Below are 16291 nucleotides of genomic sequence, written 5' to 3' on the forward strand. Positions count from 1 at the left end.
TTTAATTGGGTGCTGCAGCCAAGGAGATGGGAGATCCACCTCAAAACCATCTCCTGGACTGACTAAAATTATAGAGCAGGGAAAAATGGACTATGTATGGAAAACAGGAACTCGGGAGGGATAAAGAAGCAATCATGATGAACCAGAGGTTTGGCGTCGCATTGTCTGCATACAGCAATCTGGTCAGTTTCAGTCCTTTGATACCTTCTGAGAGGCCTAGGGGTCCTTTCTTAAGGAAGGAATTCAGATAAAACAAATATAAGTTTCAAGATTTGTGATCAGAGAGTCAATTTCCATGTTTATACAAAAAAAAAAAAAAACTGTCTGTAGGACTCTTGGGTCGGTTTCAGTCCCACTTTTCTATTGATCAATTCCTCAATCCTGGGGAATCTGGCTGTCAGTCTTTCCGGCTGCTTCATGCTGAGAAGGGGCATTGTGGGCAGCTCCATACCAGGGGTGACCACGTGGCCACCCAGAAGTCAAAGGTTAACTTAATATAGAGTTTTCTTCTGAAACACAATCTTTCTCTCTCCAGGCCTCACTTCCACCAAAGACAAGTAACAGCAGGACCAACCTACATGCAAAAGAAACTTTAGTCCCCTACAGGTAGCCTGATGACCCACACAAAGCGCAGCAAGAATCCTTGTCCACATAGGCTCTCCTAGATTGGACTGGCTGGAACCTCTCACAGTGCCATTTCAGTCAAAGCCCTGGGAAAACAGCCAGTTCCTCCACTGTGTCCCAGTATACAAGAAAACAGATTCCTATTGAAGTTATGCAAACAAACACATTGCCATGAATTAAGAATATTCATAAATGAATTACAAATTCTGGAGAAAGTAGGCAGAGAACAAAATATGCCTTAATTTCAGTTTACAAAAGTATAATCTACTCAATTGTTAAAGGCTATAAATAGCTCAAAAGGAAAAACGTTCTCCAGACTCTGAAGAATCAGCAATGTTTCAAACAAACAAAAAAGGCCATGAAAAATTATTTCAGTCCTCCGTCAGTTCAATCCATGCAATCAACTCCTGCTCTACTTCATATTGGGTTAGTAATCTTTATGCACATCAGCCTTTCAACTAGTACCCTGGAAATATCCTCTCTAATCCAATGGCACAATCTTCAAAGTTAACAGAAACCTGACTTCAAGAGTTCTTTTCATGAACTTCTCCAAAGAAGAAAACCCTGGACTATAGCTGATTAGAAGTCACTTTTTGAGAAGGATCAAAGCAAAACAATAATTGTGAATGACAAAAGTCTTAGGACAGCTGTAAAGATACAGTTGTCAATGACAGTGGGTTACATCTATGGCATACAACAATTTAACATAATAATCATAATTACTACTGACAATATATACTAAGACATATCTGAATTTGAGGAATCTTATACAATCCTGGAACAAATATTAACGACATATCTATATAAATATAACCCAAAGGAAGCTAAACACCACCTCAGATTTGACAGTGCTTTCTGAATAATTCTAACATAACAAATAAGCCTAAATTGTCTCTCTTGGGCTTCAGAGAATTTAATATTCAAAAAAGTTAGTTTGAGGTCAAAAAGACTGAATTTAGAACTTGAAATTTTGCTCTTAGAAAGTTTGCCAAATATCAGTGTTAAGATACTTGATTATCACAAAATAGAACCACAGGTCACTATAAAATAGTCATTTATTTAGCCAAAATGATAAAACAAAAACATTTACCTTTTGATAGAGAGGAGATTCAGCTTCCCAAACAATAAAACCTAATAAACACAGCATGAGGCCAACGAAATCTGTCTCTCCCCCTCCATTTTTTCGCTTTAGTTTACAAAAAAGGTATACAAAAATCTTTTATCTCTTACTAATATTACACAAATATTTTGTTCAAAAGAGAAAATCAGAATTTTACCTTTGTATGGTGTATTATTAATGTTAAAGCTAATTTTGATAAAACCTTACAAACAAATCTAATTTTAATCATAAGGTAAGATTACCATATACTTTTTATAACCGTTTATGATTTTCTGTTAAAGAACAGATCAATGCTTCAAGAAACCCTGTTATTCAGACATATGGGCCTAGACGCTAGCCTTGCACCAGTGCACTTTTGATATTAATGTTTAATTTACAGAACTAATGTTATCCCTCAAAATTGGCCCTTACAATCCCATAGGCCCACCTCTTCTGCAATAGTCCCTGGGCCTAGAGGGTTGAATAGTTTTAATTTCTGGCCCTGTGTCTCACAAAAGCAGTTCATTTTGATTGTCACCTTCTCCCAGATCTGAGGGTCTGAAGATGAGCCTTTGACAGGTATCAGTGCTCAAAATTTAGCAGGGGTTGGTGTCTTTTTCAGACCCAGGAGTCAAAGACCTGTAACTTAACAGCAGGAGGATTAGTTAAAGGGATATTATTTAGACTATGGAAAGTTCTATCATTCTAACATGTCACAAGTTAAAATATTGTGATTTGGCATTCAGTAGTTGCTGCCTGCACACTCCAAACCACTGTATTAAAGTATTTAGGTTACTCGTTGCGAGTATCTAGTTGCTAGCGTTCTGGTGACAGAACTGTGACCCAAAGCATCCAAAAGTGATGGGGCCTGTACCAAACATATCAAAACAAAACAACTAGCTTTTCTCTCCATCATTAAAAAATGGTAAATGCAAATATCGGTTTTAGAAATTCAATGAGGATAAATAAGCTCCTTTCACTTAAATAGTATACAACAGAGCAAAGACGAGGTAAGAACAAGCACACAGTAATTTCTTTTCAGCTATGTTTAAAGAACATCATCCCATATTTCCAAGATTAGTTCCTAGATACAGTACTGAGAACGAATTAAGTAACTTTCACCACTAAAATCTTCAAACCAGCGCAACACTTGTACATATTTTTTTCATGTACACATATGAAAGCCCATCAGTGATAAACGGCTTGAGATCAAAAATCACTAGAAAGTCTCACATTCTTTATTACTACTTAATCCAAGTGAATGTCAACACAACAAAATAATGGCCAACACAACTACATTTTAATAATGGTCAACACAACTAAATTAGCTTCAGAATAATCCTAAGCAATACAATTTCATTAAGGATACAGCCAATCTTTCCTGAACATTAAAATGTTGTACTCATATCACCGTGTTTCCTCACTACCTAAAGGAAAGATCTGAAACCAACTGAAATTATTGACTGAATTGAATTACCTTGGAAATAAACACCATTTAAACATTTTCATTCTCACCCACTTCTTCAAGTAACAAAATAAATAATGTGCTATTTCTGCTCAGAACTTCCAAAAATTAGTCTTTTATTTTTTTCCTAGGTGCCTTAAAGGTCTTGTAGCTCTCCCCATCATCAAGCAAAACCAACCAAAATTTAAATGGCTGATGTCCTTTATCAATTTTTGGATGCCTGACAAAGGGGCTTAAGAATTTTAGATAAATAAAACAAATGATGAATTGCTGGAAATGCATAGGAAACAAAATGACTATTTATAGAACAAAATAAAAGACTTCCACGGGAAACTTAAAAACATCAATGGTTTTATATATGCATATATATGTAAAACCCAAAGGAGAACAAACAGCAAATAAATGAAAATTAGAAGCAGAAGGAAATAAACAGGAAACCAACCCCAATTGTTCTCCTACTCAGTTTACCTTAGAGGCTAAAGTGTTAACCAGCATCTTAAAGAAACACATAATAGATATTTTGTTCCTGATATACAATTCAATGTATTTAAGTCTATCAATAACATGATATATTTTGTGCAATTAAGACATTCACTTTGGGTATATGACCAGTAATTACTTTGGTGCTAGTACTATCTATGCAGAATTGCAAATATAGTGTGAAGCAGTGCAAATGTGTGTGTGAAATTTCGCTCCATGGTAATCTGGCTTCATACTTAACTACATTTAAAAAGAATTGCCAAACTGGCAATGTATTTCTTTATAATATTTCTTATTCTACCTTTATCAAGACTAAGAGCTTTAACTATGAACAATGTCAATTAGCCAAATGTCTTCAATTTTCTATCAGGTTTTAAAGAATATTTTATTATCTAAACTTTCTCAACTTGCTATTTTTTTTTTTTGGTATGTGCATGAAGACAGACACAGAGAAACAGAAAAAATTACATATGATTTACACAGACCATCTATCACATGCTTGGATTTTCTGTTTTGTCCTAAATTTTCTCTCTGTTTTTTAATAATTAGTCATTTTACTTTAGGAAAAAAAATCACCATACAATATCCTTTCTCACACAAAATTATTTTTCTTTATAACCTTCCTTAACAAAAATACATCTTCACATACATAACTTTCTTCCCATCTCTCTTCCCTACTTACTGGTTCCTTACTACGCTTTTCATAAATAACCTTTTCAAGTCCATAATTTGAATTAACCTTTAGATAAGTTCTAAATCTGACAAAATTATTCTTTATCTCACAAGAACACATCTTCTTTGGCACATTTTATATACAGAATTATATATTAACTATAATTCCTATCCTCAGTAACCTTAAATTTTAGTGAAAACCTAGGAAGCAAGAAGTCCTGAGCTGCCTATCAGACATTAGCATTTTATAGATGAGAACCATTTGACAATTTGAAGGGGGCCACCAGCACCCGCCTCTGAGTTCCCTCAGTATTTACTGATCATTATTTTTACTATCTTAGCCAGCGGAGTGTAGCAGGGCAACACGTGGGGAGAAGGTCAGCAGGGAAACATGTGAGCAAAGGAATCTGTATCATGAATAAGTTCAAGGAAAGGTACTGTGCCTGGATGTGCACGTAGGCCAGATTTATCTTTCACTTTACATAAACATCTCAGTGTAGCAAAGAGTAACAGAGCAGCATTGTTGCCAGCTTATCTTGCCTCTAGCCACAGGGTGGTTTTCTCCTATCTCAGAATCGAACGAATGGGAATGGTCGGCTTTACACTGAGACATTCCAATCCCAGGGAGGAGCAGGAGACAGAAGCCTTCCTCTTATCTCAACTGCAAAGAGGCCTCCCTCTTTCACTACTCCTCCTCAGCACAGACCCTTTACCGGTGTGGGCCTGGGGCATGGTAAGGTCTTTCCTTTCCAACAAGGCCATATCTCAGGCTGTCTCAGTGGGGGGAAAGCCAGGCTTTCTTGGGCAGTGGTCCCTGCAGCTTTCTGCAGTGCGTTGTGTCCCCGGTTAATCGAGAATGGAGAATGGCGATGACTTTTACCAAGCATACTGCCTGCAAACATATTGCTCACAAGGCACATCCCACAGAACCCTAAATCCATTAAATTTTGATTCAATATAGCACATGTTTCTGTGAGCACAGGGTTGGGGCTAAAGTTACAGGTTAACAGCATCTCAAAGCAGAAACAATTTTTCTTAGTACCGATCAAGATGGAGTTTCTTATGCCTTCCTTTTCTACATAGACACAGTAACAATCTGATCTCTCTTTCTTTTCCCCACAACAATTTTAGAAACATGTTTCCCCATATCATAACCTCTTCTTAATTGGAAATGTCCCAGACATCCAATGAACATCAAAAATAATTTTAGGATTTTAAATTACAAAAAAAGATCACTTACATTTATCCTATATACATGTACTCAGTTATTTCATTTTAAACAGTTTACCTAGATTACTTCTGAAAACTGAGATATTAGACACAGCTAGTCATCATTTAAAGTTAGTAATTTCCTTGCAAATAATTGTTTTAATAGCCAGTGAACATCAGGTGCTCACACAAGTAAGAACCTTAAAGTTAAATATTTGGATATTTTTGCCAATAACTCAGAAGATTTAGCTAACAACATTAAATTAGTCTTATTTATCAAAAAAGGCACACAAACCAAGATCATTTCATTTTGGCTGGGTTTATGGTTTTATAACCCTCTATATCAAACTGTTACACCTCAAAACATCTAGCAGAGACAAACATAAAACCCAGGCAGAAATGTATGCTGACAATTCTGAAGACATTTTAAAGCCAGCTTGTTTAGTAAAGATTTTTTTTAAGTCACATCAACTTGAAAAAATACTTTGGATTTACTTATGAGAGCTCTTTCATTTATAAGCCAATTTGGTAGATACAACATATAACATAATAAATGTACATACATAAACACATCTAGACATATATATATATACACACATATAAACAAAAATCCAATAGCTTTTACCTCAGAACTCTAGTCATGAGATAGCAAAATAAACTCACTGGTTTCCATGGCTAAACTTTTTTTCCTGGATAGGTGTTGTGGGAAGTCAGGGACCCCAAACGGAGGGACCAGCTGAAGCCATGACAGAAGAATGTGGATTGTGAAGATTTTATGGACATTTATTAGTTCCCCAAATTAATACTTTTATAATTTCTTATGCCTGTCTTTATTGCAATCTCTAAACATAAATTGTAAAGATTTCATGGACACTTATCACTTCCCCAATCAATACCCTTGTGATTTCCTATGCCTGTCTTTAATTTAATCTCTTAATCCTGTCAGTTGAGGAGGATGTATATTGTCTCAGGATCCTGTAATAATTGCGTTAACTACACAAATTGTACAGCATGTGTGTTTGAGCAATATGAAATGTGGGCATCCTGAAAAAAGAACAGGATAACAGCAATTGTTCAGGGAATAAGAGAGATAACCTTAAACTCTGACCACTGGTGAGCCGGGCAGAACAGAGCCATATTTCTCTTCTTTCAAAAGCAAATGGGAGAAATATCACTGAATTCTTTTTCTCAGCATGGAACGTCCCTGAGAAAGAGAATGCGCACCTAGAGGTAGGTCTCTGAGCTGGCCCCCCGCCGGGGCGTACCTGTCTCTTATGGTTGAGACTGCAGGGGTGAAATAAACTGCAGTCTCCCATAGCGTTCCCAGGCTTATTAGGAAGAGGAAATTCCCGCCTAATAAATTTTGGTCAGACCGGTTGATCTCAAAACCCTGTCTCCTGATAAGATGTTACCCATGACAATGGTGCCCGAAACTTCATTAGCAATTTTAATTTCGCCTCGGAGCTGTGGTCCTGTGATCTCGCCCTGTCTCCACTTGCCTTGTGATATTCTATTACCGTGTTAAGTACTTGATGTCTGTCACCCACACCTATTCGCACACTCCCTCCCCTTTTGAAAATCCCTAATAAAAACTTGCTGGTTTTTGTGGCTTGTGGGGCATCACGGATCCTACCAACGTGTGATGTCTCCCCCGGACGCCCAGCTTTAAAATTTCTCTCTTTTGTACTCTGTCCTTTTATTTCTCAAGCTGGTCGACGCTTAGGAAAATAGAAAAGAACCTGTGTGATTTTCGGGGCAGGTCCCCCGAAAGATAGGTAATCCAATGAAGGCTTTGAACCAAAATTTTGAGTAAAGCAATTTTCATGGCAGTTTGATTTTTAAATGCCAAAACCTCCTCAGACTTCAAAGAACAGTGGGGGCAAACAGCCCCACAGAAGAACATCACCTGAAACCTGCTAACCAGGCCTAACCCTGCTTAGAACAGCAACGTAAATGCCTGGATACAGGGACCTCCATCCCACTTTCTCAATCAACAGCAAATTCCAGATTCCAAAGAATATTGGGGCTAAACAGTATTACAAAAGAATATCAGTTTATCAGATTCAGGTTTCCCATGACTGTATCGACACACACCAAACAATCCCCAAAACACAATCCAACTGATGCAGCAACAAACAAGCCCCAAGTGTCCAAACTGAAGCAGCTGGACCAGCTGGTGCTTCCTGTCTCCATTGGTTGGGCTTGATCAATATGCAAACAAAAATTCCTTTGGAATTTCTCACTTGAGAGGAGCCAATCCCGCTGTCTGGTGCCCACAAAAGACATTCACTTGGCTGGGCGCGGTGGCTCACGCCTGTAATCCCAGCACTTTGGGAGGCCGAGGCAAGTGGATCACTTGAGGTCAGGAGTTCAAGACCAGCCTGGCCAACAAGACAAAACCCTGTCTCTACTGAAAATACACCACCAGAGCTGGTGCGCACCTGTAGTCCCAGCTGCTTGGGAGGCTGAGGCAGGAGAATTGCTTGAACCTGGGAGGCGGAGGTTGCAGTGATCCGAGATCGCACCACTGTACTCCAGCCTGGGCGACAGAGCAAGACTCCATTAAAAAAAAATAAATTAATTAAAAAAAGACAGTCAATTTCCCGGACACATACACAACACACAATTACACACAAACCCACAAGAGTGTGTGGCCCAGGCTGGACTGCAGTGGTGCGATCATAGTGTTACTAGAAAAAGAGGTCCTGATCCAGACCCCAGGAGAGGGTTCTTGGATCTCATGCAGGAAGAAATTCAAGGCAAGTCTCAGGGTGCAGTGAGAAGACATTGTTTATTGAAAGCTACTCAGATACAGAGTACAGTGTCCTCAGAAAGCAAGAGGAGGAACTCATCTTTAAGTTTTTCTTATGTAGCAGGTCTTGTTTATGTAAAAGCTAAGCTAAGCCACATCTATGTGTGGGTAGGCTGAAGGCATGACAAAATTTATTATTCTGTTGATTTAAAGAAAACTATCCTTGTGTTTTGTTTTTTTGTTTGTTTTTAGTTTTAGTGTGTATGTACGTAAAAGCATAAATACAAGTATCTTGAAAGCAGCCAGGCATGGTGGCTCATGCCTGTAATCCCAGCACTTTGGGAGACCAAGGCAGGCAGATCACAAGGTCAGGAGTTCAAAACCAGCCTGGCCAAGATGGTGAAACCCCGTCTCTACTAAAAAATACAAAAATTAGCCGGGCGTGGTGATGCGCGCCTGTAGTCTCAGCTACTAGGGAGGCTGAGGCAGGAGAATCGCTGAAACCCAGGAGGCAGAGGTTGTAGTGAGCTGAGATCACACCACTTGCACCCCAGCCTGGGCGACAGAGCAAGACTGAGTCTCAAACAATAATTATCTTGAAAGCATATATTGCTATGGGCATTGGGACATCTTGACTTTCTGTTGCTGTAGGACTGTGTCCCTGCAGGTGTCTTTAAGCTGTTTCCTTAAGTGTAAATATCTTATGACCATGGGTGGTGACTGGAAAAGAATGTGCCTCATTAGTCTCAAGATGAAGCTGAACTTAAAATGGCGTTATTCTGGCTCTCCTGGGCTCCCGCTTCCCTAACAATAGCTCGCTTCGGGCTCAAACTCCTGGACTCAAGCAATCCTCCCACCTCAGCCTCCCAAAGCACTGGGATTATATGGGTTGATTTAAATAAAATAAAAACATTGATAAAAGCTTACTAAGCCTTGATGTTTGATTGTCAATCTATGTCTAATTATAATATTTAAGATTTTATATATTTATATTTTTAATTATTTGAAACCAACCAAACCTCTTCTTTTTGGAAGAGTTTTTTGTTTGTTTTTGTTTTTGTTTTGAGATGGAGTCTCGCTCTGTTGCCCAGGCTGGAGTGCAATGGCACGATCTCAGCTCACTGCAACGTCCGCCTCCCAGGTTCAAGCAATTCTCCTGCCTCAGCCTCTCAAGTAGCTGGGATTACAGGCACATGCTGCCACGCTGGGCTAATTTTTTGTATTTTAGTAGAGACGGGGTTTCTCTGTGTTGCCCAGGCTGGTCTCGAACTCCTCAGCTCAGGCAATCTGCCCCCCTCAGACTCCCAAAGTGCTGGGATTACAGGCCTGAGCCACCATGCCCAGCCCTTGGAAGAGTTTTTTAAAGGTTATAAAATTACATTTCCAAGTGTTAAAAATAAGTATATGAGTTTTAACATCATTTTGTAGCAATAACATCATTTAACAAGGGAAAGAAAAACTTTCAAATAGATGTTTTAAAATGATCATTCCACCCTCTTTCAATAAGATGCATCTTTACCTACAAAGGCAATCCATTACAGTTTTTCAAAAATATTTGCTAGGTATTCCACTAATCGCCACTTTTCACAGAACAGGTCATTACATTTGGAATTCTTGCTATTCCAAAAGAAAAAAAAATGTAAATATCAAATTAACCAACCCTCTTTTCAAAGATCATTAGCAAATGAAAGCAGGCCACTGAAGAGAAATGTTGGAGAATGCTTGCTGACCCAGGAATGTGTGGAACCCGGTGGACCTCAATTCGAAAAGCGTCATATTAATTAGTTTGTCGGATTTTTCTGTTTGAAGGAGCTTGTGAGAGAAACATGTGTTTCGGACATGATCCCACCTGGAAGCTGCCATTAGCGTCTCCTTAGTGCCTTGTCGAATGAGAAACCCTATTAATTCCAGGGGTATTACCTGGAAGTATTAAATGACAAGGAGTTGGGTGGCAGTTAGGGAGGCCTGTTTGTCTTCTAAATGTATCCATTCCTTGTTGGGGTGCTCTGACTGCATGCAATGCAGACAGGAAAATTAAATAGGAAATATTAATCCTCATCTCCTCTTGGAATATGGCATGTCAGCAGGATGACCATACAGCATGGCTTGTCTGGGACAGTCCCAGTTATACCTGTTGCCTTGGTGTCCTGCCTGGGTCAGCATTTGTCACAGGCTTTTCATTTTCAATGAAGTGTTGTTAGTAACAGCTACAGGAGGGGGGTTGGCAGGTCTTTACTTTGTACTGTGAGCTCCCACTACACTTACACCTGTCAGGGTCCACTCAGGAGACAAAGCCACATCAGCTATGTGAACAGAGGAGAATATAAAGGATTGTTAGGAAAAGGGGCACAGACGCAGCATGTGAAAAAGGGGCAGCTGTTACCCACAGGCCCAGTGAGAATGGATGAGGAAAGACTAAAGTGTTAGGAGACCTTTACCGCACCCCCACCCCACACACACTTCGGGCTGAAACTCAGATCTTTTTGAAGAGGATGCAGCTGTCACAGAAACATGCAGCTGCTGCTGGCAGAGTGCATGGGTCAGAGTGGGCCACCAGGAGCTGTCTGCCATTGCCAGAGGGTGTGGCAGGCCAGAGCCGTCCGCAGAAGCAAAAGGCCAGGTAGGGACACAGCTGCCTGAGGTTGCAGCTGTTGCGACTGCAGAAATGGCTGTTGCATGGAGAAAACATGAGAATGAGGCTAGAGATGGTCTGTGTGGGCTGCTGGACCCTGCACTGAGTGGTTACAGGAGAACCAGAACTGGGAACGACAGGTGTCTTTCTACCGGGCTTTCCTGGCAGTGTCTCACTGGCACCCTCTAGTGACGAAGCGTAGCATTGTGCCATCTAGGGAAGTGACAGCAACTCCAGGGTTACATGAGAGGAGGCTCTAGAGCCAAGAGACAATCAATTGCTAAGTGACTCAGCAGGTGCAGGATGCTCACTTTAATCTTGGTTAAATCTGACAGGCAACTTGTGAGTCTGATCCTTTCCAGAAGTCTCCCCCTTCAAGGACAGGACATAAGGAACTCACTCACTGATAAAACAACTTAATCCTTGTTCACAAGCAGCTAGGGACAGCTACGTCCTTCTGGACTCTAGTACTGTGGAGATAATTATTTGGGACTGCTTTCCCCTGACAGCCACTGGGTTGTAATGTGGCTCGTGCTGTGGCTTTTGAGAAGCCATCATTTGGCAGTCAGTTGGAAACGTGGAAAAGTATAGTTTAGGTACACAGTTTAAACTATAATTTAGGCATATTTAAATAGAGGCTATATAAAAATAGAGGCATATTTAAATAGAGGAAATAGAGGCTATAAATTATTATAGATATAAGCCCAAACTCTCTTGCTACAGTGGTTTTGTTATTCATTATATAGGAAAATCTACAGCCATTTATTTTATTGTTTGACTATACTTTTTTACTTAATTTTATTATTTTGAGACAGAGTCTCACTGTGTCACTCAGGCTGGAATGCAGTCGCACCATCTCGGCTCACCACAACCTCCGCCTCTCAGGTTCAAGCGATTCTCCTGCCTCAGCTTCCTGAGCACTGGGATTACAGGCGCCCGCCAGCGTAACTGGCTAATTTTTTGTATTTTTAGTAGAGACACAGTTTCGCCATGTTGGCCAGGCTGGTCTCGAGCTCCTGACCTCAGGTGATCCACCTACCTCGGCCTCCCAAAGTGCTGGAATTACAGGCAAGAGCCACCGCACCCAGCCTGTTTGGCTATACTTTAATTTTGCAATAAATCCTTTTAGCAAACAGTGAGCTCAAAAATTAAGTACTGAATTTTCATATCACAAGAGGTGGAATGTTTAGTGTGCACAAAATGTTGCTGCTTACCACTCACCAGTGGCACCATAGTGCTATCTCTGACCATGTAAAAACTATAAGATGCTAATCTATAAGGAAATACTAGCACCTCCTTCAAAAGTTAGAACTTATTTTAAGAAAATTCTGGCCGGGCACGGTGGCTCACCCCTGTAATCCCAGCACCTTGGGAGGCCGAGGCAGGTGGATCACAAGGTCAGGGTTTGAGACCAGCGTGGCCAATATGGTGAAACTCTGTCTCTACTAAAAATACAAAAATTAGCCAGGTGTGGTGGCAGGTGCCTATAGTCTCAGCTACTCTGGAGGCTGAGGCAGGAGAATCGCCTGAACCTGGGAGGCGGAGGTTGCAGTGAGCCAAGATAAACGTCACTGAACTCCAGCCTGGGCGACAGAGTGAGACTCAGTCTCCAAAAAAAAAAAAAAAAAAAGAAAGAAAGAAAGAAAGAAAATTCTGTCCAAAGATAATAATCTATCAAGTGCATTGCAGAGGATATATTTATATATTAGTTTGTAAAGCAGGCTGTTCATTTGATCAAATGACTGCTATTTGAAGTTAATTTCTGTCATTTTCAAAAAGTAAAGCAATACATGGAAGCATTGGCTGCATTAGCAGAAGAAAAACTTTCATTTTGTTCAAGTAAGTTTCATCAGATGTTTCAAATTAAAAAGCAGTGTAAGGTTTTCATCTAATTCATGGATAGAATTAAAAATAAGCTTTTAGAAGTTCCCTTTCCCACAGGGAAAATATATAATATGTTGTGAATAAATGCTGTTAAAAATGTAGTTAAGCCTGGGCAACAGAGTGAGACTCCATCTCAAAAAAAAATTAGTTAAAATGTGCATCAGGGAAGGTTTTCATACAAATCAAATTTGATGAGTCACAACCTTGGAGTTGGTTAAGATGAACACACATTTTGAATTTTATTAATCAAGCCGCAATATTCTTCTGTTCAAAATAGCATCTTGTAGTTATCAAAATGTATGAATTTTCTTTATATAGTTCCTACAGAATATTTGTGATGAAGCTGCTGATGAATACAAATATGATATGATATTGATGATGTATTGATGGCAGTGCCTGCTTTTCATCTTTGCTGCCCATGAGCAATTGAAATGTAGTTGTGTGTGCTCTTTTGGAGAACGATTTTAAATCAGCCGAAATGCTCTGTAATGTTACTAACCTTCTTTGAACTGAGTCCTCTAAATTTCAGGTGCATTTTGTTCAAAATCAGTTAGAAATAGTCAAAATATTCAGAGTGAAGCACCCAAAAATGTAATTTTGGAGGCTTTTAGCTACTTGAAATCATAGAAAACAAAGTTTGCAAACAGGAAGATATTCAAAGTTCTACAAAACCAAAGGAGAAACTAATTAAACAGCATCAGCTTAATAGTGAATAGGACTTAACTTTCTCAAATTCTGTAATTGAATTTTGGCGTATCTTGACTTGGAGGAAGAAACTTTAGATGGACTTCCTATTTTTAATTGGATAAATTTACAGGCTATATTAGAATGCAGTGAAACTGGGATGTCCAAAAAGTTTGCTGCACAAAAATTTGGTGAAAACTTCAAAAGGATTATTTAAGTCAGTCATTTGATAAGCTTTGTCTGATAAAAGTATTTGGAAAAGAAACACATTGTATGCAGGCAAAAAGATTGTAACTGTGGAAATATTCAGACTGAAATACTTGTGCATTTTAATATGAGAAAAATTAGAATTGAGACAGTTCTTCATTTGTTAGAATTTGCTCTGAGCTTACCACGTCTCTCAGCTCCTGAAGAGTGTTTTCTCCATAAAAATTCCTTAGTCTAACAGCAGGAACAGCTACATAATTTGCAGGGCCCATTGCAAAATGAAAATGCAGGATCCTCTGTTCGAAAACTACAAATAATTTCAAACTGATGACAGTAAAACATCCATCCAAGTGTGTATCCCTGTGAATGTGGAGCCCTGCATGCTGCATAGGTCACACAGGACCTATGGTCAACAGACAAGAGTCAATTGACCATGATAGTAATTTTACATTTATTGACAATAAAGTGCAATTTATAAAAATTTTCTTAATAAGATCCTATTGAAAAATACCTTATTGAGGAAAAATACCAGTGATGTTTGATAAGAGGTAGATTCAGTTAAGAAATGAATTACAGTGTATGAATGTGCACCAAGAATAATGTCTTAGTGAGCTTAGGCTCCCATACAAAATACCATAGACCAGGCAGCTCAAACAACAGAAATGTATTTGCTCACAGTTCTGGAGGCCCCAAAGTCGAAGATCAGGATGCCAGTGAGAGGTGACAGCATGCTGGCAGCCCTCGCTTGCTCTCCCTGCCTCCTTGGCCTCGGCGCCCATTCTGGCTACGCTTGAGGAGCCCTTCTCTGGGCTGGCTGAGGCCGGAGCCAGCTCCCTCGGCTTGCGGGGAGGTGTGGAGGGAGAGGCACGGGTGGGAACCGGGGCTGCGCACAGCGCTTGCGGGCCAGCTAGAGTTCCGGGTGGGCGTGGGGTTGGCGGGCCCGCACTCGGAGCCGCCGGCCGGCCCTACCTGCCCCAGGTAGTGAGGGGCTTAGCACCCAGGCCAACAGCTGCGGAGGGTGTGCTGGGTTCCCCAGCACTGCTGGCCCACCGGCGCTGTGCTCGATTTCTCACCGGGCCTTAGCTACCTTCTTGCGGGGTAGGGCTTGGGACCTGCAGCCCACCATGCCTAAGTCTCCCCCGCGTTACCGCCGCCGCCGTGGGCTCCCGCGCAGCCTGAGCCTCCCCAACGAGCACCGCCCCCTGCTCCAGGGCACCCGGTCCCATCAACCGCCCAAGGACTGAGAAGTGCGGGCGCACGGCATGGGATGGGCAGGTAGCTCCACCCACGGCCCCAGTGCGAGATCCACTAGGTGAAGCCAGCTGGGCTGCTGAGTCTATTAGGGACTTGGAAAATCTTTATGTCTAGCTAAGGGATTGTGAATACACCAATCGGCACTCTGTATCTAGCTCAAGTTTTGTAAATGCACCAATCAGCACTCTGTGTCTAGCTGATCTGGTGGAGACTTGGAGAATCTTTCTGTCTAGCTAAGGGATTGTAAATACACCAATCGGCACTCTGTATTCTAGTTAATCTGGGGGGACTTGGAGAATCTTTATGTCTAGCTAAGGGATTGTGAATACACCAATCAGCACTCTTAATCTAACTCGAGGTTTGTAAATGCACCAATCAGCACTCTGTGTCTAGCTGATCTGGTGGGGACTTGGAGAACCTTCATGTCTAGCTAAGGGATTGTGAATACACCAATCGGCACTCTGTATCTAGCTCAAGGTTTGGAAATGCACCGATCAGTACCCTGTGTCTAGCTCAAGATTTGTAAATGCACCAATCAGTGCTCTGTGTCTAGCTAATCTAGTGGGTACTTGGAAAACTTTTGTGTCTAGCTCAGGGATTGTAAACGCACCAATCAGCACCCTGGCAAAACGGACCAATCAGCTCTCTGTAAAACAGACCAGTCAGCTTTCTGTAAAATGGACCAATCAGCAAGATGTGGGTGGGGCCAGATAAGGGAATAAAAGCAGGCTGTCGGAGTTAGCCGTGGTATGTTTGCTGAGATCTGCTTCAATGTAGTGAAAATGGTTATTCTTCTTGCTTTTTTTTTTTTTTTTCTCTTTTTTTCAGTAAATGTGCTGTTTTTCGGTTTTGTTTCCTGTATGAGCTGTAACATTCTTTGTAAAGCTCTGTGGTTTTGTTTTTGAAGGTATGAAAATAGAACCAACCCATTTGTAGAGTTAAACAACTATCAGGAGCGTATGGCGTTATGTAGTTTATGACACTCACTGAATGTTTTAGAGCTTTACTCTTGAGCCGATGAGATCGCTAAGCCCACCATGAAAGAAGTAAAGGGAGGACATACCGCTTTAAAGAACTTGTAACACCACACGGGTCTGTGGCTTCATTCCCGAAGTCAGTAAGACCAATGAACCCACCAGCACAGTGTTTTTGGTGATGGTTGTTTTTAGCAACCTTAACTGTAAAAATTTCTCGTTTAAAATCATGAATTACGTGTTAAGGTTTCAACGTATGAATTTGTGGAGGGGGCTGGGCACAATTCACTGCATAGCAAATAACTGTACTTTGAGAATAACGTATATTTAAAGTTTAAATTGTGAATTTTAAAAA

At 40.5% G+C, this 16291-nt stretch overlaps 3 annotated features.

The window, feature by feature from the left end:
* Positions 356-857: an enhancer, noted in NCBI's record as "OCT4-NANOG hESC enhancer chr6:2921833-2922334 (GRCh37/hg19 assembly coordinates)". NCBI's record gives its function as "activates a minimal SCP1, AML or CMV promoter by ChIP-STARR-seq in naive H9 embryonic stem cells {active_cell/tissue: H9 hESC(naive)}" and the evidence as "EXISTENCE:reporter gene assay evidence [ECO:0000049][PMID:30033119]".
* Positions 6887-7545: an enhancer, noted in NCBI's record as "OCT4-NANOG-H3K27ac hESC enhancer chr6:2928364-2929022 (GRCh37/hg19 assembly coordinates)". NCBI's record gives its function as "activates a minimal SCP1, AML or CMV promoter by ChIP-STARR-seq in naive H9 embryonic stem cells {active_cell/tissue: H9 hESC(naive)}" and the evidence as "EXISTENCE:reporter gene assay evidence [ECO:0000049][PMID:30033119]".
* Positions 7546-8205: an enhancer, noted in NCBI's record as "H3K27ac hESC enhancer chr6:2929023-2929682 (GRCh37/hg19 assembly coordinates)". NCBI's record gives its function as "activates a minimal SCP1, AML or CMV promoter by ChIP-STARR-seq in naive H9 embryonic stem cells {active_cell/tissue: H9 hESC(naive)}" and the evidence as "EXISTENCE:reporter gene assay evidence [ECO:0000049][PMID:30033119]".

The sequence above is a fragment of the Homo sapiens genome, chromosome 6 (genome assembly GCF_000001405.40).
Source record: "Homo sapiens chromosome 6, GRCh38.p14 Primary Assembly".
NCBI lineage: Eukaryota > Metazoa > Chordata > Mammalia > Primates > Hominidae > Homo > Homo sapiens.